The 24,479-nt window shown below is 49.6% G+C and overlaps 1 protein-coding gene and 1 long non-coding RNA gene across 9 annotated transcripts in view, besides 9 other annotated features; one reads left to right on the top strand and one right to left on the bottom strand.

The window, feature by feature from the left end:
- LOC105376819 (uncharacterized) overlaps window positions 1-14,716 on the bottom strand; it is a 47,268-nt gene extending 32,552 nt beyond the window's left edge. Inside the window, exon 1 of the long non-coding RNA XR_007065522.1 lies at window positions 14,581-14,716. This is a non-coding gene — a long non-coding RNA (uncharacterized LOC105376819). The remainder of the gene's footprint in view (window positions 1-14,580) is intronic.
- Window positions 11,354-11,861: an enhancer, noted in NCBI's record as "H3K4me1 hESC enhancer chr1:19813869-19814376 (GRCh37/hg19 assembly coordinates)". NCBI's record gives its function as "activates a minimal SCP1, AML or CMV promoter by ChIP-STARR-seq in naive H9 embryonic stem cells {active_cell/tissue: H9 hESC(naive)}" and the evidence as "EXISTENCE:reporter gene assay evidence [ECO:0000049][PMID:30033119]".
- Window positions 13,121-13,850: a silencer, noted in NCBI's record as "silent region_356". NCBI's record gives its function as "represses an Ori minimal core promoter by ATAC-STARR-seq in GM12878 lymphoblastoid cells {active_cell/tissue: GM12878}" and the evidence as "EXISTENCE:reporter gene assay evidence [ECO:0000049][PMID:35858748]".
- Window positions 13,697-24,479, top strand: part of CAPZB (capping actin protein of muscle Z-line subunit beta) — a 146,765-nt gene continuing 135,982 nt past the window's right edge. For 4 of the 8 annotated variants that reach the window (NM_004930.5, NM_001206540.3, NM_001206541.3 and 1 more), the window contains exon 1: window positions 13,697-13,800. In NM_004930.5, the coding sequence (NP_004921.1) occupies window positions 13,798-13,800 (3 nt within the window). In that variant the 5' untranslated portion in view covers window positions 13,697-13,797. Of the gene's footprint in view, window positions 13,801-14,940; window positions 15,047-24,479 lie in introns of those variants that run through there. The other 4 variants (NM_001282162.2, XM_011542228.4, XM_017002429.3 and 1 more) reach the window with 1 other exon arrangement.
- Window positions 13,881-13,990: a silencer, noted in NCBI's record as "silent region_355". NCBI's record gives its function as "represses an Ori minimal core promoter by ATAC-STARR-seq in GM12878 lymphoblastoid cells {active_cell/tissue: GM12878}" and the evidence as "EXISTENCE:reporter gene assay evidence [ECO:0000049][PMID:35858748]".
- Window positions 13,881-14,403: a biological region, named in NCBI's record as "H3K27ac-H3K4me1 hESC enhancer GRCh37_chr1:19811327-19811835".
- Window positions 13,895-14,403: an enhancer, noted in NCBI's record as "H3K27ac-H3K4me1 hESC enhancer chr1:19811327-19811835 (GRCh37/hg19 assembly coordinates)". NCBI's record gives its function as "activates a minimal SCP1, AML or CMV promoter by ChIP-STARR-seq in primed H9 embryonic stem cells {active_cell/tissue: H9 hESC(primed)}" and the evidence as "EXISTENCE:reporter gene assay evidence [ECO:0000049][PMID:30033119]".
- Window positions 14,404-14,911: an enhancer, noted in NCBI's record as "H3K27ac-H3K4me1 hESC enhancer chr1:19810819-19811326 (GRCh37/hg19 assembly coordinates)". NCBI's record gives its function as "activates a minimal SCP1, AML or CMV promoter by ChIP-STARR-seq in primed H9 embryonic stem cells {active_cell/tissue: H9 hESC(primed)}" and the evidence as "EXISTENCE:reporter gene assay evidence [ECO:0000049][PMID:30033119]".
- Window positions 14,912-15,420: an enhancer, noted in NCBI's record as "H3K27ac-H3K4me1 hESC enhancer chr1:19810310-19810818 (GRCh37/hg19 assembly coordinates)". NCBI's record gives its function as "activates a minimal SCP1, AML or CMV promoter by ChIP-STARR-seq in primed H9 embryonic stem cells {active_cell/tissue: H9 hESC(primed)}" and the evidence as "EXISTENCE:reporter gene assay evidence [ECO:0000049][PMID:30033119]".
- Window positions 16,986-17,671: an enhancer, noted in NCBI's record as "OCT4-NANOG-H3K27ac-H3K4me1 hESC enhancer chr1:19808059-19808744 (GRCh37/hg19 assembly coordinates)". NCBI's record gives its function as "activates a minimal SCP1, AML or CMV promoter by ChIP-STARR-seq in naive H9 embryonic stem cells {active_cell/tissue: H9 hESC(naive)}" and the evidence as "EXISTENCE:reporter gene assay evidence [ECO:0000049][PMID:30033119]".
- Window positions 21,451-21,550: an enhancer, noted in NCBI's record as "active region_304". NCBI's record gives its function as "activates an Ori minimal core promoter by ATAC-STARR-seq in GM12878 lymphoblastoid cells {active_cell/tissue: GM12878}" and the evidence as "EXISTENCE:reporter gene assay evidence [ECO:0000049][PMID:35858748]".

The following is a 24,479-nucleotide window of genomic DNA, read 5'->3' as shown; positions in this document are numbered from 1 at the left end:
TCTTAAGAAATCTTTGCCAACTCAATGTTCTGAAGATTTCTCATCTGTTTTCTTTTAGAAGTTTTAGCTCTTCATGTTTATGTCTATGATCCATTGAGTTAATGTTTATCTATGGTGTGAGGTAAGGGTCAAGATTCATTTTTTTCTAAATGGATCTTGGGAGGAGAAGACAGAAGGATCCCTTGAGCCCAGGGGTTCAAAACCAGCACGGGCAACATAGTGAGACCTCGTCTCTATAAAAAATGCAAAAAAAAAAAAAAAAAAAACAATAGGCACTGTGGTGGCTCATGCTTGTAATCCCAGCACATTGGGAGGCCGAGGCGGACAGATTGCTTGAGTCCAGGAGTTTGAGACCAGCCTGGGCAATATGGTGAAACCCTGTCTCTACAAAAAATACAAAAATCAGCCAGGAGTGGTGGCATGCACCTGTAGTCCCAGTGCTACTCAGGGGCTGAGGTGGGAGGTCCGCTTGTGCCCAGGAGGTCGAGGCTGCAGTGAGCCAAGATCACACCACTGAACTCCAGCCTGGGTGACAAAGTGAGATCCTGTCCCAAAAACAAACAAACAAACAAAAATAGCCAGGCATGGTGGAGCACTCCTGTAGTTTCAGCAACTTGGGAGACTGAGGTGGGAGGATTGCTTGAGCCCAGTTGAGGTCAAGGCTGCAGCGAGCTGAGCTCATACCACTGCACTCCAGTCTGGGTGACAGAGCAAGACCCTGTCTCTAAACAAGTAAATAAACAAACAAACAATCTCCAGTTGTCCCAGAATTTTTGTTAAACACTGTTCTTCACCACATTGTTACATTGGTGCCTTTGTCAAAAATTATTTTACTGTATATACATGTGGGTCTATTTTTGGACTATTATGTTCCATTCATGTATGTGTCTATCCTTCTGTCAATGCCACATTGGGTTGATAGCTTTATAGCTACGTCTTGAAGTCAGGTAGTGTAGGCCCTCTAACTTTTTCCCTCTTTTTAAAGATTGTTCTAAATATTCTGGGATTTCCATATACCTTTTTAAAAGATTGTTCTTTTTTAAAGATTGCTCTTTTTTAAAAAAAGATTGTTGTCTCGGCACGGTGGCTCACGCCTGTAATCCCAGCACTTTGGGAGGCCGAGGCAGGTAGATCACGAGGTCAGGAGTTCAAGACCAGCCTGGCCAAGATGATGAAACCCCGTGTCTACTAAAAATACAAAAATTAGCCAGGCGTGGTGGCAGGTGCCTGTAATCCCAGCTACTCGGGAGGCTGAGGCAGAGAATTGCTTGAACCCAGGAGGTGGAGGTTGCAATGAGCCAAGATTGCACCACTGCACTCCAGACTGGGCAACAGAGCGAGACTCCATCCCAAAAAAAAAAAAAAAAAAAAGATTGTTCTACTATCATGGGATTTCCGTATACATTTTAGAATCAGGCCAGGCACAGTGGCTCATACCTGTAATCCCAGCACTCTGGGAGGCTGAGGATTGCTTGAGCCCAAGAGTTCAAGACCAGCCTGGGTAACATAGTGAGACCTCATCTTTACTAAAAATAATTGTAAAAATTAGCCACGTGTGGTGCCATGTGCCTGTAGTCCCAGCTGTTTGGGAGGCTGAGGTGAGACGATTGCTTGAGCCTGGGAGGTCAAGGCTGTAGTGAGCAATGATTGCACCACTGCTCTCCAGCCTGGGTGACAGAGTGAGACACTGACTCAAAAAAAAAAAAAAAAAAAAGAATCAGTTTGTGAGTTTATATACAAAAACTTGCCGGGATTGTGATTTTAATTGCATTGAATTTATGGTACATTTTCAGGAGAATGAACATCTTGATGATATTGAATCTTCCAATCCATAAATAGGGTACATCTTATTGATCTAGATTTTTAATTTATCTTGGCAATGTTTTCTTGTTTTCAGGCCTTGTACATCTTTCATTAAATATATCCTGAGTGGCCGGGCACGGTGGTTCACGCCTGTAATCCCAGCACTTTGGGAGGCCGAGGTGGGCGGATCAACTGAGGTCGGGAGTTCAAGACCAGCCTGACCAACATGGAGAAACCCCGTCTCTACTAAAAATACAAAATTAGCCGGGCATGGTGGCACATGCCTATAATCCCAGCTACTAGGGAGGCTGAGGCAGGAGAAATCATTTGAACCTGGGAGGCGGAGGTTGCGGTGAGCCGAGATCATGCCATTGCACTCCAGCCTGGGCAACAAGAGTGAAACTCCATCTCAAAAAAAAAAAATATATATATATCTATATCTCCTGAGTATTTTATATTTTTTGATATTATTATAAAGATATTTAAATTTATTTTACAATTGTTCATTGCTCTGATCTTTTATTCCAGCCTTTCACTAGATTTTTCTCAAGTCCTACCACTTTATCAGGTCCTATGTCAGTTCTGCATGTAGTTTAGCTTCATTTGGAACACTGCAGTGTCTGACTGGAATGAGAGATGAGGATTTTGGAGAAGTAGAGGATGGCTGAGGTTTGCATCCTGGATGACTGGAGGTTCTCTGGCTCACAATTTGACAGGCTTCATTCATATTGTGCCATATCCCAGGTTCCATGCTAATTGTTAGTGATATGACTCACAGTCCCTGCCTCAAGGAGCCATAGCGCAGTAGGGACCAAGTGAAAAGTGATCTGATAAGGTACACAAAGTAGAAGTTTCCATGGCAACACAGAACAGGGGGTCCCAAACCCAGCTTTTGAGGGGACTGTCAGAGATATTACCAGGATAAGAGGGTGATTATGCTGAATCTAAAGGAAGAGTCAGCATTAGACACATTGTAGAGTCCAGCCCAACCCTGGTGGGTGACTGGCTGGCCAGCTTAATACACTAAACGTGAAGTTTCCCAAATATGCATATAAAAACTCCAACAGCTGGCCTGCATGTGAGAGGCCCTTCCATAACTCTGACCAAGACCCCGTAGATGGTCAGGATACAAATACTTCTGGTCCAGCAGAAGGCAGCTGTGAGTTCTCCCAGGTACCTATTAGAAAAGCAAAAGCAAAAACCCTGAGATGATTGTGTCTAACCTCAGAGTAAAGTATCCTCTTGGCACTGAAGACTTTGGGGATGCATTAAAAAGAAGTGGATTGCTAGTGGTCTGTCCACCTCCCTGCTCCCTGCTACATGTACTTTCAAGATGCTGAAGGCTGGAAAAAGTTGATCTAAGCTGTCTAGCTGAGGCTGCCTCCTCTACAAACCACACAATTTTCTGTCTTCAAAGGAAATCAGCATTTTTTTTTTTTGGCCTGTACTCAGTCCTGCTTAAGGTTTCAATGACTAGAAATTTCTGAGACCACAAATAAGTCTGTTTCATTCACTTGCCAGAGCTTACTCAGGATGCCCGTAATGCCCATCTGTTTCTTTCTTTCCTTCTCTCTACTTTTCAGCAGCCCTTCTCCTTCTTTTGGTAACAGTATCCTGATTTCCCCCATCATCAGGGAAACAGTTTCCCTCCCTGATCATCAGGTCCCCATCTGCCAGCTCCAGGGCTGAGGCCACTGGTAACTGAAGAAATGAACATGGCTGAAATTGCCTAAGGAAAAAGGGCAAAGTTAGAGAAGGAAAGAACCTGCTACCAAATCTCAAGGAACTCCATCGTTTAGTAGGTGTGTGGAGGAGAAGGAGTCTCCAGAGAACCCAGAGAAGGAGCGTAGAGGTAGGATTAAGACTAGGAGAGTCACATGATGTCATGGAAGCCAATGGGAAAGAGTGCTTCAAGGAGGGAGGACGTGGCCAAAGCACCAGAGGCTACTGGGAAGTTACAGGAGGTGAAGTTTGAAAACTGTGCATGTGGCCCGGCAAGGTGGCTCATGCCTGTGATCCCAGCACTATGGGAGGCTGGGAAGGGAGGAGTGCTTCGTGCTTCAGCCCAGGAGTTTGAGACCAGCCCGGGCAACAAAACGAGACCCTGTCTCAAAAAAAAAAAAAAAAAAAAATTTAAAAGAAAGTTGTGCATGTGACCTTCAACATGAAGGTTATGGGTGACCTCAGAGCTATTTCAGTGGAGGAGTTACGTAAGCGAATGGGAGGTTAGGAAGTGGAAGGAGGAAACACAGACAATTCTCCAGCTGGGAAAGGGAGGAGGTGGCGGTAAGCTGGAGAAGATGAGGAATTCACGTAGGTTTCTTTCTTTAAAAAAAAAAAAATCAGAACACTTAGGCATGTTTAAAACCACAGTAATCATTAGTTGAACAATCTGGGGAGAGACAGGATAATTGAAGTGTAAGGTTCTTGAGAAAATAAAATCCCCAAGAGGGAATATTGTTTACAGGATTTCCCAAACTTACTTGGTGAACTGCCCCTCTTCAGGCCGAGTTCATTTTGATTACTGTTCCGCAGAAAGCACCCTGGCCCAAATTAGGTCAGGGGCTGATCTGCAAACCAATTAGCATGGCCAAGGCTATACTTTGACTTTGGTCAATCAGAATCCTCTCTTCTAGAGCTGGGGGTGGGCTGAACCCCACCCAAACTAAATGTCTGAAAATGAGACAGGGTTAAGTTGTAGGAAAGAGACGGTATTCATACCTGGGAGGTACCCCAGCAGTGACCTCGAAGCCAACTGAATGATGGTGCAGATGGCCTTGCCATGTGGTGTTCCCTCCCTCTTGGAACTCTTGGTAACAAAGATTCTTTTTTTTTTTTTTGAGACAGAGTCTCTGTGGTCACCCAGGCTGGAGTGCAGTGGCGTGATCTCAGCTCACTGAAACCTCTGCCTCACAGGTTCAAGCAATTCTCATGCCTCGACCTCCTGAGTAGCTGAGATTACAGGTGCACACCACTACGCTCAGCTAGTTTAAGTATTTTAGTAGAGATGGGGTTTCACCATGTTGGCCAGGCTGGTCTCGAACTCATGACCTCAGGTGATCCGCCCACCTCAGCCTTCCAAAGTTCTGGGATTATAGGCATGAGCCACCATGCCCGGCCGGTAACAAAGATTCTTAAATTGAATCCCATTGAAACTTCAGTATATGGAGTTAGGATGTTCAGGCAATACGGCTAGCTGTAGAATTCAGTGTATTGAGGGGTTAAAATCTGGCTTATTCTAAGGGTTCTCAGGCATTTCTAAAGACACGGTAAAACACCTAAAACCGTGTTAGTAACTTGAGAAGATGCCCAACTTAGGAAACAGGCCCAGACCTGTTAGACGGGAGGTAATTTAGGAGCTAGGCAATCCCCAGCTCCTGGGATAACTGTGCATTTATTAACCCAATTAATAGATGTAATTGAAGAAGGAAAGACAGATGTTGGGCAACTTCTGGGCAATGTCTGCTTTAATGGGTCCTGTATGAGCTGATTTGGCATAGGGTAGAAGGCTGTCTTTCAAGGACCTCAAGGTTGCTGCTTCCTTCCTCAGGTGATGGTATTATATGGCTTGGGGCTTCCCTTCCACCTTGCCTCAATTCAGAAAATGCTTATGGGCACCTACTATGTGTAATTGCCATTCTATGTGCCGGGATGTGGTAGCACTGCCTTTTGCAGCTTACAAAGCCCTTTCCTACCTATGATCTCAATCTGGTGATTCTGAGAACAGATTTTGAGTCAGGAAGACCAAAGTGAGAATAAATCCATCCACGTATTATGTGTGACTTTAGGCAAGTCATTTCATCTAAGACCCAACTTCTTCTATAAATTGGTAATAATAAAAGTTCTGGCCAGGCATGGTGGCTCACACCTATAATCCCAGCACTTTGGGAGGCTGAGGTGGGGGGATCGCTTGAGCCCAGGAGTTTGAGAGCAGCCTGGGCAACATGGCAAAAATCTGTCTCTACAAAAAATATAAAAATTAGCCAGCAGTGGTGGCTCACACCTGTGGTACCAGCTACATAGGTGGCTGAGTTGGGAGGATTGCTTGAGCCTGGGAGGCGGAGGTTGCAGTAAGTCGAGATTGTGCCATTGCATTCCAACCTGAGACCCTGTCTCCAAAAAAAAAAAAAAAAAAAAAAAAAGTTCCTAACTCAAAGGATGGTTGGGAGGAGTCTATAATACACAAAAAGTGCTTAGCACATAGCAAGTACTCATGAAAAAGTAGCTGTATTATTCATTCTTTGTTTATTCACACAATAATCTTATCCTGTTGATACTATTATCTTCATTCACATACCTTCATTGAGCACTGATTATGTTCTAGGTGAACACCTAGGTCCATAATGACCAAAAGAGGACTCAGATGCAGAAGAACAAGGGTCCCAGAACTAAGCCTTCAGGAAAGGAAGAACCATCAAAGGAAACTCAGGGGAAACTTGAGCACCAGGAGAAGGCTTCCTTTCCACCTTGCCTCCAATCAGGAAATGCTTATGGGCCCCTACTATGTGTAACTGCCATGCTATGTGCTGGGATGTGGTAGCCTTACTGATCTCAGGCAAGCCAAGAGAGGTACATGAAGGAGGAGAAGCCAGGAGTAAGATGAGTCCCCAAAGTGAGCACTGGCTTCTGCAACATCGAGTTCCCAGGTCAGCTTGAGGAGAGCAATGTCTCTTCCTGGGCAGGTGGGGGCAGAGGCCTGATCAGACTGACTGGAGGAGAAAATGGAGCAGGTGTGGAATCAACAACTGCAAAGAATTTACAAGGTTTTGGTGTGAATGAGAGCAGAAAAATGGGGGAAGTGGCTACAGGGAGACGCAGGATCCAGGAGTTTTGAGTGGTGGTTCTTAAAACTTTTTTTTTTTTATGATAGGAGCTATTAGAGCATGTTTTCTGAAGCAGATAGGAATGATCCAGTACCAAGGGAGAAACTGGTGACTAAGGAAGGAAGGATCCAGAGAACAAGTGGAGGGGTGACTCTGATAGGAACAAAAACGCTTCATTTATTGTAAAATCTGGGGAGTCAAAGATTGCGGGGAAGGTGCAGAGATGTTGGTAGATGATAAGCTCCTGTCTGGTTCCATTATTTCTGTGAAGTGTGAGGCAAGGCCATCTGCTTAGAGAGAAGGATGCAAAGGGGACAAAGGAAGCTTGAGGAGGAAGAAGGATGAAAAATCACCATTTAAGAGTGTGAGCAGGGGGCTACAGTGGAGTAATACAGTAGAATTGCTAGGCAGGCTTGAGGGCTCGTTTGAAATTTGTGGACCTCACCTTAAAGGAAGAGCAATCACTTTCAACTTTCCAGCAATGTTCAGATGGTTTTGTTGTTGTTGTTGTTTTGTTTTTTGAGACGGAGTTTCACTATGTCACCCCGGCTGGAGTGCAGTGGCGTGATATTGGCTCACTGCAACCTCTGCCTCCCGGGTTCAAGCGATTCTCCTGTCTCAGCTTCCTGAGTAGCTGAGATTACAGGCGCCCACCACCATGCCTGGATGATTTTGTATGTTTAGTAAAGATAGTGTTTCCCCATATTGGCCAGGCTGGTCTCAAACTCTTGGCCTCAAGTGATCTGCCCATCTCAGCCTCCCAAAGCGCTGGGATTACAGACATGAGCCACCTTGCCCAGCCAATGTTCAGATGTTCTGATGAAAAAAGGTGGAGGTAAAAGGGTTCTGGGCTTTTGTAAGGGAGTTAGTATCATACTCATTACTAAGCTGGGTCAGGTGGGATGTGAGCATGAAGGGGAAGGTAATTGTGAAAATCTGGCAGGGACAAAGGTTTGCAGGTCTTGATGAGGTTGAAGAAATAATGAGGTTGAGGAAATGCTTTTGTGGTGATACTATGGTAAGCGGGTTAGACTCAGATTTGAGATCTTTGTGACTGTGATTTCTTTTCTTTTTTGGAGACTGGGTCTCACTCTGTTGCCCAGGCTGGAGTGCAGTGGCACAAACACAGCTTACTGCAGCCTCAACCTCCTGGGCTCAAGAGGTTCTCCCACCTCAGCCTTCCAAGTAGCTGGGACCACAGGTACATGACACCATGCCTGGCTAATTAAAAAAAAAAATCTTTATAGAAATGGGGTCTTGCCATGTTGCCCATGCTGGTCTCAAAATCCTGGGCTTAGCCTCCCAAAGTGTTAGGATTATAGGTATGAGCCACCATGCCTGGCCAGTGTGATTGTGATTTCTGAGATAGTGCAGTTAAAGGCGAGAACAGGCCAGGGTAAGACCACAGGAGTGGGACCTGGAGAGAGGCAAAGGAAACTGATTGGTAGGGAAGAAATCAGGGAGAAGTCAGTAAGATTTCTGGTGGATTATGCTTATGGATGCTGAAGTCCTAAAGAAAGTGTAGAAGGGGAGATGGAGGTAAGTTCATGAAAGCTAAAAAAAAAAAAAAAAGGGTGTGGCAGGTGGAAAAATATCACAGTATGAACTTCAAGGGGGTTAGGGTCTTTAAAAGAGGATGAGACGAGAAACATTGCTAAAGATATTTATGGCCTGGATGTTGTGGCTCACACCTGATATCCCAACACTTTGGGAGGCCAAGGCAGGAGAATCACTTGGGCCCAGGAGTTCAAGATCAGTCTGACCAACATGGTGAGATCCCGTCCCTATTTAAATTATAAAGTTATTATTTATTTATTTATTTATTTATTTATTTATTTATTTATTTGGATACGAGGGTCTCACTCTGTTGTGCAGGTTGGAATGCAGTGGTGCAATCATGGCTCACTGCAGCCTTAATCTCCTGGGCTGAAGGAATCTTCCTGCCTCAGCCTCCTGTGTAGCTGGGACCAGTGGCATGTGCCACCATGCCTAATTATTTGACTTTTTTATAGAGACGGGGTCTCACTTTGTCAGTGAGGTCTCGAACTCCTGGGTTTAAGCAATACTCCCACCTAGGCTTCCAAAGTGCTGGGATTACAGGCGTGAGCTACCATGCTTGGCCAAAAAATTTTAAAATAAACAAAATTTATAGTGCCTGCATACCAATTCACAACCCCTTGTAGATGACCATGTTTAATGCCATGTGTCTCCATGCTCATAGCAATAGCTGATGGATCTAGGGGCAGGATCTGAGCAGTGGGCAGCCAATCTGTGGAGTGACCTGTCCAGTGAATGAACTTTCCTTCAGGCTTGGCCTCCATCCCTTGGTATCCAAGAAGGACACCACCTTTTCTTGGTCCTGTTCCTGCCTCGCGGGTCATTCCTTCTCAGTCTTTCTGCTGGTTCCTCTTTATCTTCATGACCTCTTCTCTCTACATTCACCCACAAAGTGAGTTCACCAAGATGTCTGTGCTTTCAAGTATCTTTACATGCCATTTACTAGCTGACAGTTCTCATAAGTTTATCACAGCTCTAACTTCTTCCCCCAACTCCAAACTTCCATATCTAATTACTTATTTGATATCTCCATTTATTTATTTTTATTTTTATTTTTTGAGATGGAGTATCACTCTGTTACCCAGCCTGGAGTGCAGTGGTGCAATCTCTGCTCACTGCATCCTCCACCTCTGGGTTCAAGTGATTCTCCTGGCTCAGCCTCCTGAGTAGCTGGGATTACAGGCATGTGCCACCATGCCCACCTAATTTTGGTATTTTTAGTAGAGACAGGGTTTCACCATGTTGGCCAGGCTGGTTTTGAACTCCTGACCTCAGGTGATCCACTTGTCTCCCCAAAGTGCTAGAATTACAGGTGTGAGCCACCACGCCCACCTGACATCTCCATTTAAATCTCCAGTAGGAGGGGCCTGGCGCGGTGGCTCACGCCTGTAATCCCAGCACTTTGGGAGGCCGAGGTGGGCGGATCATGAGGTCAGGAGATCAAGACCATCTTGGCTAACATGGTGAAACCCCATCTCTACTAAAAATACAAAAAAAAATTAGCCAGGTGTAGTGGCGGGCACCTGTAGTCCCAGCTACTCGGGAGGCTGAGGCAGGAGAATGGCGTGAACCCGGGAGGCGGAGCTTGCAGTGAGCCGAGATTGTGCCACTGCACTCCAGCCTGGGCGACACAGCCAGACTCCGTCTCAAAAAAAATAAAATAAAATAAAAAATCTCCAGTAGGAGGCCAGGCATGGTGGCTCACATCTGTAATCCTAGAACTTTGGGAGGCCAAGGCGGGCAGATCATTTGAGGTCAGGAGTTCAAGACCAGCCTGGCCAACATGGTGAAATCCTGTCTCTGCTAAAAATTCAAAAATCAGCCAGGCGTGGTGGCGCACGCCTGCAGTCCCAGCTCCTTGGGAGGCTGAGGTGGGAGAATTGCTTGAATCCAGGAGACGGAGGCTGCAGTGAGCCGAGATCGCACCACTGCACTCCAGCCTGGGCGACAGAGTGAGACTCCATCTCAAAAACAAAAACAAAAAAATCTCCAATAGGCATCTCAAACATAACTTGCTCCCTCTTATCCACAACCCTCTCCTCAGAAAAACCCTGCTCCTCCTACAGTCTTCCCCAGATCAATAAATGGTAAATCCTTCCAGTGTTAAGCCAAAAACCTTAGCATCAGGCAAAACTATGGAGTAAAAAGATCAGTGGTTGCCAGGAGCTGGGGGAAAGGGGATGAAGAGGTGGAACACGGGGGATTTTTAGGGCAGTGAAAATATTCCGTATGATGGTTCTAACGGTGGCTAGATGTAATTATCCACTTCTCCAAGCCCATAGATTGTATAAGTGAACCCTAATGTAAACTATTGGGTGATCACGATGTATGAATGCAGGTTATTTGCAACAGATGTACCACACTAGTGGGGAATGGGGACAATTCAGGGAGGCTCTGCATATGTGGGGCAGGGGGGTATATATGGATTGTCTCTGTACCTTCCTCTCAATTTTCTTGTGAAACTAAAACTGCTCTAAAAAACAAAGTCTTGGCCGGGTGCAGTGGCTCATGCCTGTAATCCCAGCACTTTAGGAGGCTGAGGTGGGAGGATTGCTTAAGCCCAGGAGTTCGAGACCAGCCTGGGTAATACAGTGCGACTCAGTCTCTACAAAAAAATTAGCCTGGCACGGTGATGCACGCCTGTAGTCCCAGCTACTCAGGGCGGGGGTGGGGAGGGGCTGAGGTGGGAGGATCACTTGAGTCCGGGGGTGTTGAGGCTGCAGTGAGCTATGATTGCGCCACTGCACTCCAGTCTGGGCAACAGAACTGAGACACTGTCTCAAAACAAAAAACAACAGAAGACAAAGTCTTTAAATATGAAAAAAAAAATCTTAGCATCATCCTTGATTCCTTTCTTCTCATGCCTACCACCAATACATCAGGAAATACCTAGAATACTATCTACTTCTTGCCATCTCCAATGCTACTACCCTGGTCTAAGCCAGCTTCATCTCTCTGCTGTGTGACCTTGGGCAAGCTCCTTACCTTTTCAGGCTTCTGTCATGAGGATTAAATGGCTTATTATCTGTAAGGTGCTTAACAGTGTTCATCACATAGGATGTGCCATATCAGTGCTTTTTAAATAAATAAATGTCCTCAATATAGAAATGGCTTTCTAAGGCCCTAGTCCCCCTACAGTCCATTCAGAACACAGCAGCCTCATGATCCTTTTAAAGCCTAGGTCAAATCTTGTCATTGCCCTGTCCTTCAGCTCCTGCTCGACCTAGGCTAGCCACACTGGCCTCCTGTCTGGCCCTTGAAAACACACCAGTGCTGATGCAGCACTGTCACCTTCAGGGTTTTTACCCTTGCTGCTCCTTGTGCCTCTGCTATCCACACGGCTTGCTCCCTCCTTCCCTTCAGCTATATGATCAAATATTGCTAAGTTAGGCCTTGCCTGCCTACCTGTTTGCTTGAATTTTTCTCATTATCTCTAATCACTACCCGACACTGTATTATTATTATTACTATTTTATTTTTGAGACGAAGTCTCTCTCTGTCGCCCAGGCTGGAGTGCAGTGGCGCGATCTCGGCTCACTGCAAGCTCCGCCTCCCGGGTTCACGCCATTCTCCTGCCTCAGCCTCCCGAGTAGCTGGGACTACAGGCGCCCGTCATCCCGCCCAGCTAATTTTTTTATTTTTAGTAGAGACGGAGTTTCACCGTGTTAGCCAAGATGGTCTCGATCTCCTGACCCCGTGATCCGCCCACCTCGGCCTCCCAAAGTGCTAGGATTACAGGCGTGAGCCACTGCGCCCGGCCTCGGCTAACTTTGTGTATTTTTAGTAGACGGGGTTTCGCCATGTTAGCCAGGCTGATCTGGAACTCCTGACTTCAAGCGATTGCCCACCTCGGCCTCCCAAAGTGCTGAGATTACAGGCGTGAGCCACTGTGCCTGGCCTTGGACACTGTATTTGCCTGGTGGCCGACTGTCTCCCTGACAACACTCAAGCTCCACAACCATGTGGGTTATTTTGCTCATTGCTCTATTTCCAGAGCCTAGCACAGTGCTTGGCACATAGCAGATGCTCAATAAGTATCTACTGCGTGTGCCATTCTCTTCCTTGAATTTCTGTAATACTCATCCAATACCATTCTTGCGAGACTTACCCGTATGCTTTTTCTGCCAGTGGCTACCTGTGAAAGCTTCGACTTGTCTATGAGCTCCCTGAGGACAGGGCCTGGCTCAGGGAAACAATTCCTGTCATCTGTGCAGTTTACCATCCCCTCACAGATCGCCTAATTTGATTTAACCAAAGCAAACAGGCCACGGAGGCAGATATTGTTAGCAATCCAGATCTCTCCTGCTACCTAGACTAAGCTTAACAAATATTTGATTGAGAGAGAGAGAGAGAGATTGGGAGAGAGAAACTTGAGTCACTTTGTGGAGCGAGGAAGCCCTTCTGGGCTAATGGAATGGTTCTCTGTAGCACATTCAACAGTACTCATAACAGCTAGCATTTGTTGAACTTAATTTTTTTTCTTTTGAGACAGAGTCTTGCTCTGTCGCCAGGCTGGGGTGCAGTGGCGCGATCTTGGCTCACTGCAACCTCTGCCCCCGGGTTCAAACGATTCTCCTGCCTCAGCCTCCCGAGTAGCTGGGACTATAGGAGCGAACCACCACGCCCAGCTAATTTTTGTATTTTTAGTAGAAACGGGGTTTCACCATGTTGGCCAGGATGGTCTCGATCTCTTGACCTTGGCCCGCCTCGGCCTTCCAAAGTGCTGGGATTACAGGCGTGAGCCACCGCGGCCGACCTGTTGAACTTAATTTTCTAATCTCTACCTGTGTCATCCTCACAGATATTCTGTCTGCAGCTATACCGGCAGGGATCTTTATGTCTTATCTGTTATCTTCCGGTGCCTAAACAAGGCCTGGCACATAGTAGGTGCTGAATAAATGGCGTCAGCCCGAGGCTCCTCAATTCGTGCCCGGGCTCAGGTGCAGCGCGGCGCTCCAGATCCTGCCGTAGCGAGCGGCAGCGCTGGGCTCCTGCCCCGCTCCCGGCGCGCTCCCCCAGTGCTGGGTTGGGCTGGGTTGGGCTGGGCCGGGCCGGTCCGCGCTCGGCGGCAGTTCCGGGTGCGCCGCAGGAGTGAGCGCGTGCACGGGGTGGGGCGCGGAGGGCCGGTCCCCTCCCAGCCGCGGTGCCTTCCGCATCCCCGCCCGCGGGGACTGTGGGGTGCGGTTCCCTCGCCGCCACTCGCTGCTGCAGGCCCAGAGTCGGGGACTGGACCTCAGACAGCCAGGAGACCTTTCCGCCCCGGCCCGCAACCCGTGCCGGGGACTCCCGGCAGCCGCGCCGCGCAGCGCCGCGCCCCGCCCCGCCTCGCAGGCCCCGCCCCCGCACCCCGTCGGCGCCCGCCTCTCGCGCCGCTCTCCATACTTGGCGATCGCCGCAGCCCCGCGCGCTCATTGGCCGCGAGCTGGCGGCGTGGGGGGCGGGCCCGGGCCGGGCCGGGGCGGGGAAGGAAGGTGGCGGCGGCCCGGCGCGGGGGGAGGGGGGTGCTGACCCGGATGTTCACTCCTGGGCACCCGGGGAAGTGGAAGCGCCGGGCCCTGCTGCGGGGGGGAGAGCCACTGACGCCGGGACCGGGACCGCCGCCGCCGCCGCCACCATGGTAAAGGCCGCACGGCCCCCTCCCCGGCCCGGGGGCCCCTCCGGAGCTCGCGTCCCCCTCCCCCTGCCCATCCCTGGCCTGGGACGGGTGGCTTCCCGGGGTGGGGGAGGGGCGGGGTCCCGGACCCTGGGTGGACCCGGTCCCTCCCCGCCCAGGAGGGTGCCGCCGGCGCGGACGACTTGGGTGGCAGTGACCCTGCCCCCGCTCCCAGCCCCCGCCCTTGGCGCAAGCTGGAGTCCCACTCACTACCTCTGTGTTCAGGCTGGTCTCTCCCATAGCCCAGGCTAGACCCTCCCTCCCGAACCGTGTCCCCAGCCAGGCACCCCCTCGGTGACCCTGGCGTGGGCCCCCTTCCTCCCCCGGTCTAGGGCTAGGTCTGCTTTCCCCCGTCTCTCCGGCCCAGGCTAGGCCGTCGTTTCTCCCTGCCATGGCCCAGGCTAGGCCGCTGCCTCCCTCTGTCCCTCCCCCTTTGCCTTCTCCATGGCCTCAGGCTGGACCCCGGTCAGCCCCTTCTGCAGCGGCCTAGGTTTGCTTCCCCTCTTCTCCGTGGCCTCAGCCTGAATCTCCTCTTCTCTCTGTGAACTTAAATCTGGACCTCCTCTTCTCCGCCCATGGCCCCCGTCTGGACCTCACTGCCCCCTCCCCACCATGATCCCCTTCCCTGGACTTTTCGCCACTCCTAGCGTAACCTGCGTCAGCCCCGCTCGGTCCCCGCCCTGAGCCTCTCATCAGGGTCCTGCCCCCTGCCTGGTGCACGACCCAGGGTCCCCTTCCCTGTACCTGGGGCGCGCCTTCTTTGCAGCCTTTGGGGAGCGAGGGGAGCTCTCCATCAGGGATGGGGTGGTCCCGGTGCTGTGCCTTCTCAGTTGCCGCTTCTAGGGAGGCCGCCTAGGAGCCAGCGAGGGAAGGGCGGGCATCGGTGTGCCCAGAAGGCAGCGCGCTGCTCTGCGGGCCCTTCTCGAGGCTGCCGCCGTGGGTGCTGTGCGTGCGAAGCATTCTGCAGGGCAGGCCGGGGTCCACGGCGCCCGGGCCTGAGTGGGAGCCGAGGGGCGAGGATGGGTGGCCCACAGGACAAGGATGAACGCACAATCGCCCTTGTGAGGCCGTGGCCTTGGGGGGCCACCAGGCCCTGGATCCAGCATATGGCCTGGACACGATGCACCCAAGCAGGCGCAGCCTCCCCTTCCCTCTGAACTGTCAGCTTGCAAGGGTTGGAACTGCTGATTATGGAAGTCCCTCGGATCAGGTGAGCAGAACGCCTAGGGAGAGTGCTGGCTCCGCTCGTGGTGTTTGTTTTGGTAAAGAAGGCAGATGCTATCCAGACTTTTGAGGAACCTGGGGTTTCACATAGGCCCCCACAGATAGACCTGCCCTCCTGCCACTTGACCCTTCTGCAGGACAGGCCCAGCACTTAGGTTGGAAGGGCCAGAGAACTTCTTCCTGACAGGATCAAGGGATTTTTGGAGCATGTTTGTATGTGGACTTTGGGCCTCAAAGTGTTTTGAGGACCATGGTTCCTTGTTTAGTCAAGGGATGTTGCTGCTGAACGAGGGTGAGTAGTTGAGATGGGTTAAGCTTTCTTTTGATGCCTTCCTGTATGCTGATTAAAAACATGGGCAATGCCACTTTTAAGGCCTTCGGATTTGTCCAGTAACTTTGGCTGAAAACTCCTTGTTTGGGGAGGTGGGCCTGGCCCCAGGCCTTGATGGAGAACGACTTCTCCAGGGCAGTGGTGGGTGAGGACTTTGAAAGTGGGCTGAAGTTTCCTGAGTGTGCACTCAGGACAAAGTATAAGGCAGGAAGCAGCGATTCTCGCCAGGTGATGGGAAAGTGCCTCAGTCCCCCAGGAGGAGCACATGACACCTGAAGCTTCTCAGGAGTCTTGTACTCAGCTCTCATCTGAAAAGGCTGGAAAGGGTGGAGGAACTGTCTGCCAGTCACTGTGGTGTGCTTCACCTGTACAAGCTGTTTTCATCCACAGGAAGCCCTTCTGGGGCTGTCCCCATTTTATAGATGAGGCAGCTGAGGCTCAGGAGGTGGAGTGACTTATTCAGGGTGTTGCTCAGCCAGTGGAGGAACCACTGTTGGTCAGTGGAAGCCCATCTGGCAGGCTCTAAACTGTTCTTCCCATTGTACCAAGCTGCTTGTATGTCAGAAGGTTTAATGATACCGTTTGAAAAACATAAAATGGGATATTCAAACATGGCAAGGGGGGAGGAGCAGTATTTATTGCCCATGTATTGTATTTTAGATCCTTTGTATAGGAAATCATGTTTATAGTGAAATAGCTGTATGGTGATACAGGCATATTTAGCATGGGCCAGAATGAGCTCTTGGAGGGCAGAGATTTGTGTCTTGTGTTTTCCGCAGCTGTATCCGTGGGGCCTAGAACAGCACCTGGCGTTGGAAGAAACCACTTGGAATGTTCTCTTTGGCATGTGTCTGTGTCCATGAACTTACCTGCTTGGATTTCATATTCATTCTCTCAGTCACTTGTTCTTAGTATCCCTTAGCCTTGTAATTTCTGACTGCTTATTGTTACGTTTATCCCCTATTTGAATACTCTGACCATTAAGCCGGTGTAGATGGTTGGCGTAGGACAGAAGTGGTGGTGTGAGGTTGCATTGTAGGTAAATGAATTCAGATCACCATGTTTTTCATTTTCAGTAGATTTGATGGTAGAGAATACAGCTAGATCTCTGTTATCCATTGAGGGAAATAGTGACTTGAGAATCTAAAATGCATTTGACTTTGGAATGAATTCCATGATTTTTGTTGGCATGAGTTTCTCCTTCCCAGTTAAAATGCATAGGCAAATGGAATTTATTTGCATTCCCTTAGCAGGTAATAATCTTACCACTGTCTGAGTGCTGTACAATTTCAGAGCACCGTTCCTTACACAGCTTCAGTTTCTGACTTGGGAATTATTCTTAGTTATGATGATGGTGAGGCTTTAGCAGGAACGGGGACTAGGGAGGCCCCCTCAGGAATTGCTGCTCCAGCTCACAGATGGTTTTGCCTGGCAGGAGCTGATGGGAACTTGGTATTGTTACAAGGTGAAACAACATAGTTGACATTAATGTCTCTTGATGTGGATAAGACACATTGTTCAACTCACATCCCTCTTGTCTGTCTATACAGCCCTGTTCATTTAAGCCCACCTGGCCTCTTTTTGGTGGCATGCTTATAAAAAGTAGGCAGTGATCAGTGGCTTGAGATTAAGGAAATGATAAGCCGTGTCTTTGAAAGCAGATGCTCCTATTTATAACTCAGACATCCTATACTTTTACATTCCATGAGGTGGGGAACAGGACATGACTGACCACAGGGAAATGGTGGCAGGGCAGGTGCCTCGCCCGTTAGAAGCCTGCCCTCCCTCCAGGCTGGGAAATGCTTATTGTTAGGCAAATACTGAGGCATGTTGTGGGGTACCTGCAGCTACAGGATAATGTTAATTCAGCTTTTTGTGTATTAAGTGCCTACTCTGTGGTGCTTATGTGCTGAGGATGCAAGACAAGGATCTCTGCCCTCATGGCTCACATTGTTGAGGGGTGGGGATGTCATCGTTACCTAAAGCTTAAGGGGGAAAGAGCCTTGTTCAGTGTACCTGCAGGCACATCTGCATGAGCTATGGCAGGAAACTGAAGAGAAAGCTGGGGGCTTGTGCCAGGCTCCACTCCCAGGCCTTTTGGGGTGTGTCTTCTCTTGTGTCTGCCATTGGGTGGAATTGGATTGCACGTGCACGCAGTCCGCTCCTCTGCACAGCCAAGGCTTTCTGGGGCCCCGAAATGAAACCTTACAGTACCTTGGAAGTCCAGCCTGGGTAGCTTTGTCCAGCCTGTCCAACCCGGGTACCCGAGGATCTGCTGTGACCCAGAAACATGACTTAGGTTATAGCCCAGCCCCCATTTTACTCACAAGGAACCTGAAGCTTGAGAGCTTGAGTGACCGGTGTGAACAGCAGGCCTGGGATTCGGATCCCTGTCAGCCCAAGTCATGTGCTGGACCCCACTCACTGTGTTTTCCAGAACACAGTGAGCAGAGGGCCCCGTAAATACAGGATCTTGTCCCATTTCCCCTTGCAGCAGATCCACCAGTGAGGGTGCGGTGTGGAATTCCAGGGGATGCAACTGCAAGATCACCCATATTGGGACCAGCTAGAGCCATATGCTATTTCCAGACCTAGGCTTTCACAGATTCATGTTTCAGTGGAAGGAAAGGGAGGTTTAATGGTTATGGAGCACCAGCCACATGCTATGCACTCTGTTAGAACGGTCCTCACCACAGCCTGACAAGGTAGGTTCAACTTTAGGCTGGAGGCAGCATAGTACAAGAAAATAGAGTTAGGAGCCAGACTGCTTTAGGATAACAGTACCTCTGCATAAGGTCGTAATGAGGGTTAAGTAATATCTGTCAAGTGCATCCAGTAGCATCTGGCACATAGTGATGTAAACATTAACTATTGTTATTATCACCATTTTCCAAAAGTGTGCAAAGGGGTGTATGGTTAGTCCCTGTCTAGCTACTAAGTGGAGGAATTGGGTTTTCTGACTCCAGAGCAAACCGTTTTTCTCCACTCCGTACTGCCTGCCGATGGCTGCTTTGGAGTTTGTCTGGCTCTGGGTTGTGCCTTGAACGCACAACTTACCTAATAGAGCCTGGGGCTCTTTTCTCCATTAAAGACAAGCTCACTGTGAGCTGGGCACCATGTGTTGCCAGAGCCTCATGCTATATGTCAGGCCCGAATTCCTTGTTTGTGCCAGTGGAACCCCCTGTGACTGGAGGGTTCCTGCCCTCTTCCAGGCTTGGAAGAAGAGAGACAGGGCTGGGGACAGAGCATATGAGCTCTGTGAGAGCAGGGACCTTGTCTGTTTGGTTCCCTCTGAGTACCCCACACCTTGCACTGGCCGCCTGGCACTTAGCGCCAGCTACATAAACACTGAGTGAGAGCTGAGAGGCGGCTGCCTGCTCCACAGAACATGGTCTCTGCAGTTGGGCACATCTGGATTTGAGTCCTGTCTGCCACTCAGCATGTGACTGTCAGTGAGGCGGCTAATTCCCTTGGTCTCAGTTTTCCTGTTCCGTCGCATGAGGATAACATTTTATAGAGATGGGGAGTAGGGGTGAAATTTGTAATGTACTTACTCCAGTGCTTGGCACACAGTAGCTGTGGTTGTTGCATGTCTTATTCTGCATACCACAGAATAAGGGACACAAATAGAAGCCATCATCCCTGTCCTCTAATCTGGGAGGGGGAGGCAAGATGCGTCCAAAAAGCCAAGTGCAGCAGGAATGAAGTAGTACTAGAAAAGACTTAGCCAGGGACCCATGGGTGCTGTGGTCTGCCCATCCCTGCAGGCCTGGCTTGCATTTCCCCCTCCTCCACGCAGCCCTGCAGACCACTCCAGCCTGCAGTCGGCTTGGGGGCTGGGCATGAAGCCTGGGAAGAGTGTGCTCAGGCAGAGAGGACAGGGTGGGGTATGGTCAAGGGGACTGGCACAAAAGCAGAGGTCAGGGGGTGTGGTCACACAAGCAGTAGATGCGAGCCCATGGGGTGCCTCAGTCTCAGGAGTGAGTTGTGGAGTGCCTGAGTTGCTAAGCTAAGGAGTTTGCATTAGATCTGGGACAGTGTGGAGCCAGTGAAATTTTTGACAGGGCAGGTAGAAATTCGAGGAGGCTGGCAGAGCGGTGGTATTTTAGGAAGAGCCCTCTGGCTGTGCATGCAGGAGGCCTGGGAGGTGAAAGAGATGGGAGAGAGGCCTCCACAAGCATCAGCTTGTGAGCTTATGAGGGTCCTGGCCACTGTGCAGCTGTGGGTGTGGAAAGGAAGGGATGGTGGAAGGAGATAAAGGCAGAGTGACACGGAATGATTTACCACCTCTGGAGCTGAGGGGGTCTGCCCCAGAGCTGTCCCATGTAGGTGTTCTGATTGGACAGTTTATCATTGACACACAGCTATTTCAGGTCAGTCTAAATCCTAGATAGTGGTGTCTGCAAAGCCTTGAGAGCCTGTTAACAACTGAATGGGGATTTCAGTCTGGGTAGCCCAGTGATCCATCCAGCCAGTGACTCTGTGACTGCAGGTGGCACCAAGTTCAGCCTGATGCACACAGCATTAGGTTCTGGTGCCTAAGACACCAGTCTGCTGAGGGAGATGGTGGGGTGGCGGGCTCTGCATGGCAGCTGTAGGAATAACAGAAGCTAGTTTTTTTTTGTTTGTTTGTTTGAGACAGAGTCTCGCTCTGCCACCTAGGCTGGAGTACAGTGGCACGATCTCGACTCCCTGCAACCTCCGTCTCCTAGACTCAGGGAATTCTCTTGCCTCAGCCTCCCAAGTAGCTGGGACTACAGGTGCGTACCACCATGCCTAGCTAATTTTTTGTATTTTTAGTAGAGACAGGGTTTCACCATGTTGGCCAGGCTGGTCTTGAACGCCTGGCCTCATGATCTGCCTGCCTCAGCCTCCCAAAGTGCTGGGGATTACAGGCATGAGCCACTGTACTTGGCCAGGAGCTAGTTTTGACTGATGACTTTTTAATATTCCAGCCAGCCCTACGAGGCAGATTCTCATGTCACCCTCATTATGCAGGTGAGGAAACCGAGGCCCACCTGGCAGTCCTGGCACTGCGCTATGCTCCCTTTAGTGATTTTTTTCCATCGGGTCATTCATTCCGTGGATGTCTACTGAGCAGTCAGGTAGACCTAATAGAATATGCCATCTGAGTCTTAAGGTTAAATGGAGGAAGCGGGTGGAAGCAAGTATGTCCAAAGTTCTGAAAGACTCAGGAGTGAGTGCAGAACCAGCCTGGGGAAGTCCACAGCGTCAGACAGGCAGGGAGGCTGCTTGCCTGCGTTTTTCCGTGCTTCCTCCTATGGTCACCCCACATGTTTCTGACATCTCTGGATGCTTGTGAACAGGAGCCTTTGCCTACAACTTTCTAGTGTTAGGTTTTCAGTTGTGTCGTCACGTGTCTTGTAAGGCAACAACCCTGGTGGTTGCCATTCACCTGGCACGTAGTGATGATTGTGAGGACTGAGTTTATGTGTGGAAAGTGTAGACGATGCCTGGCACGTTGTAAGTGCAGTAGGAGTGTTATCTCTTATTATTGTGGTTATTCTGTTAACATGGATGGATGATAGGTGGTGTTTCATTTAACTTCCCAACCAGCCTGGAAGGCAGGTGCTAGTTCCTTCTTCTGAGACTCCAAGATGTAGAGTCCCTTGCCCAAGGAGAGTGGTCTTAAGGGGCTCATTCTGTTTAAACACCAGACTGCTGAAAACAGCAGCCCAGGGTTTCTGGTCTCAAGAGCTCTTACCACATTGCAGCTTGGAAGCAGTTGTTACCACTGGCTCAGACCCCGCACTTCTCCACCCTCTGCTTCAATTGCTCTGTGCAGCTTCCTCTTCTAGTGCTGAACTCAGCATGATGCTCCTGAGTTAGGCTCGGTATCTTATTTAACAGTGTTTGGGCTTGCTGTCTCAGAGCCCTAGTAAGTGGATTCAGGCATCGTATTTACCAAGTGAAGTACTTTAACTTAAAATAGAAAGTTAAACCAGGTGCTGTGGTGTGTGTCAGTGGTCCCAGCTACTCAGGAGGCTGAGGTGGGAGGATCGCTTGGGCCCAGGAGTTCAAGGCCAACCTGGGCAACATAGTAAGACCCCATCTTTCTTTCAAAAAAAGTTATGAAAAGATGCTTTTGCATTGCACCCTATCTGCTGGAGCTTCCAATTAGAATTGAGCCAGTGGCATTTTCCGGTGGTACCGGTGCCCTTTTCCCTTCTCAGTTGCAGCAGTGATTGGCAGGTAGAGTGTTGCTGCTGAAGGCTTCTCCGTCGTGAGGCTTTGACCCTGATGGGCTGTCGTTGGTTTCACATGAGTGGGCTCCCTGCGTTGCAGTTTTGTGCTCAGAAACTGGAAGGAGGAGCCTTAATCCACCACATCCTTCTGGTGTGAAAAGTCTTGAGACACTGAGGAACTCAGACTCCAAAAGAGCAGCGGCCAGGCTTGGCTGTTAGTTCCTCTGCTGAGAATTTCCAATGTGAGCTGTTGTCATGTCCTCAGTGTATACCCTCCAGACACCTTCTATCCTGAAATCTCTTTTGGGCACAGGGTGGTGTGGACCCCTGGTTGTCCTGAGATTTGAGACCTTGTTCAGGCAGAGAGGATGGGCTGGGGTGTGGTTAAGCAGAGTCCATTCTTGGTCTTGAGGAGTGCACTCATGGCACAGGCATCAGGGGATGCCATGAAATGAAGGATACCTTCAGTCTGTAGGCTGGTATTGAGTGTTCACTCACAGAGTGGCCCCTTCCTTCTGCCAGTATTTACCGGATGCCCACAGTCATTGTCTGTAATTCTCTCAACACCAACCCTGTGAGGTCTGTTTCCTCATTTTGCAGATAAGGAAACCGGAGCTCAGAGAGGTGTAGTAACTTGCTGAAGGGCCCCCAGCTAGTTAATGGCAGTTGCCATGGAGGTCCAGGTCCACCGCACTCAGCGCATGCTGATGGAATTCCCCTCTCCTGCCTCTCTGGCACCAGCCCATGGGGATGTTTATTTTATAGATGAGGAAACTGGGGCCGAGAGGTTCCCCTGTACGTCTAGCCACAGTGGCTGAAGAGGTCTGGGTTTTGTTTAGGAGGTTTTTTTGGTTCCACTTGTTGAAATGCAAGGAGATGGAACTTTGTGAACTGCAATCTGTTTTCCAAAAGATAGCCACTCAGCTGAAAGGGCGAGATAGTCTTAGCCTAGCGTCGGCCACTGTGTGGCTTGGCCTACTGGACAGGACGGTTCTTTGTGCAGTAGTGTCAGTGTCCCTGGCTCTTCCTGCCTGTGACGTGAGTGGCAGCAGCACATCTTAATCATTGCGACAGCCCTCCATGGGGACTATTGGGTGACAAAGCCTTGCAGGATCCTTTGGCTTTTTCCTATGAAGCCCCATCCCAGCCCTGGTCACCATATACAGTGTAAGATGCAGGGATTCTGAGAGGAAAGACAAAATTGGCCTGTTTGATTGATTGATTGAGACAGGGTCTCATTCTGTTGCCCAGGCTGGAGTGCATGGTTCCATCTTGGCTCACTGTAGCCTCAGCCTCCTCGGCTCAAGCAGTCCTCCCCCTTCAGCCTCTCATGCAGCTGGGATAACAGGCATGTGCCACAGTGCCTGCCAGCTGGGATAACAGGCATGTGCCACAGTGCCTGCCTGCCTGCCTATCTATCTATCTATCTATCTATCTATCTATCTATCTATCTATCTATCTATCTATCTACTTATTTTTTAGAGACAGAGTCTTACTTTGTTGCCCAGGCTGGTCTCGAACTTGTGGGCTCAAGGGATCCTCCCGCCTTGACCTTCTAAAATGCTGAGATTATGGGCGTGAAGCCACCATGCCTGGCCAAAATTGGCCTGTTTTAGTAGTTACCTGAGCTCAGGCAGATCGAGTTGGTTACCCTTGTTCTGCCTGGTAAGTTTGTTTCTTATCCTTAGGAGGGAAGATGAAAAATCCTGGCTCTCAGTCTTGGGGTGCTGAAGCAGTGTTACACACTGGCCCTGACACAGCCATTGCTCTACAGGTGTTAGATGAATGACTGAATGTCCAGTAGGTCCTTAATAAATGTAAGAATCCCTCCCTCCATTAGGTTGAACCATATGAAGTTGCCATTTTCCTAGGTAAAAAAGGGTTGAATTAACCAGCCTTTCATGTGGTTCAACCTAATACAGACTAAACACTGGGGCCAGGCAATTCCACTGTGAGACTAGCCATGTCCAGATCTCTGGGCCTGAGCTCTCGGCCAAGCCTGGCTTCTCCTAGGGCCTACCCAGTTGTCAGTGTCAGGCTCTCAGTCGAGAACAGAGGAGCCGAGCGGGGTCTGCCCCCGAGATGGGGCAGTGCTCTCTTGAGCGGTTCTGCTGCTCAGGACTGCCCCAGTGGTGCTGGCCTTGTCAGGGTTTGGCCGTGGTGGGAGCCGTGATCCTAACAGCAGCTGACATTTACTGAACGCTGTGCACATGGTGGGCGCTGAGCGCTTGGCCTGAAGTCACACTGGTGGCTTTCTTGGAGTTTCTATGTGATCCCAGGCAGTCATGATTCCTAGTCCAGGGGCAGTGAAGGGCAGACTCTGGAGCCAGAGAGCCTGGCTTCAGGTCCAAGATGTATAGACCAGGGCAGTTCCCTTCACTCTGTGCCTCCATCTCCTTGTCTAAGAAATGGTGAGCATAAAAGTAGATATTTCTGATGGATTTTATGAGGATTAAATGAGTTAATATGTGTAAAGCCAGGCAAGTGTTAACCATAATTATTAACATTAACCACAACACGATGTTATTATCAGTGACATGGACTCGTAGTGTGTTATTAGAGCCGGAAGGGTCTTCGCATGTGGACACTCCCTTTGCTTTGTGTTGGGAGCTTGGACTTAGTGTGGACACCTGATCTCCCGCCTCCTCCATAGCTCCCTGCAGGTCCTTGTCAGTTCTGGGCCTCGCAGACCATGCACCTGCCTCTCCATGAACAAGTTGTTTGAAATGGTGCTTTTGTTTCAGGTGATAATACAAGTCACTCTTCTGGAAGACTTAATTTTTTTGTTTCTCTGGGTGTAAGTGGCCCACCCAGGCATGCCAGTTACATTTGGTACCCAGAGCCTTTGAGGCAGCCAAAGTATGGTGCCTTTAGATGCTCCT

Source organism: Homo sapiens, chromosome 1 (assembly GCF_000001405.40).
Source record: "Homo sapiens chromosome 1, GRCh38.p14 Primary Assembly".
NCBI lineage: Eukaryota > Metazoa > Chordata > Mammalia > Primates > Hominidae > Homo > Homo sapiens.
This window is presented reverse-complemented; position numbering and strand designations above follow the sequence as displayed.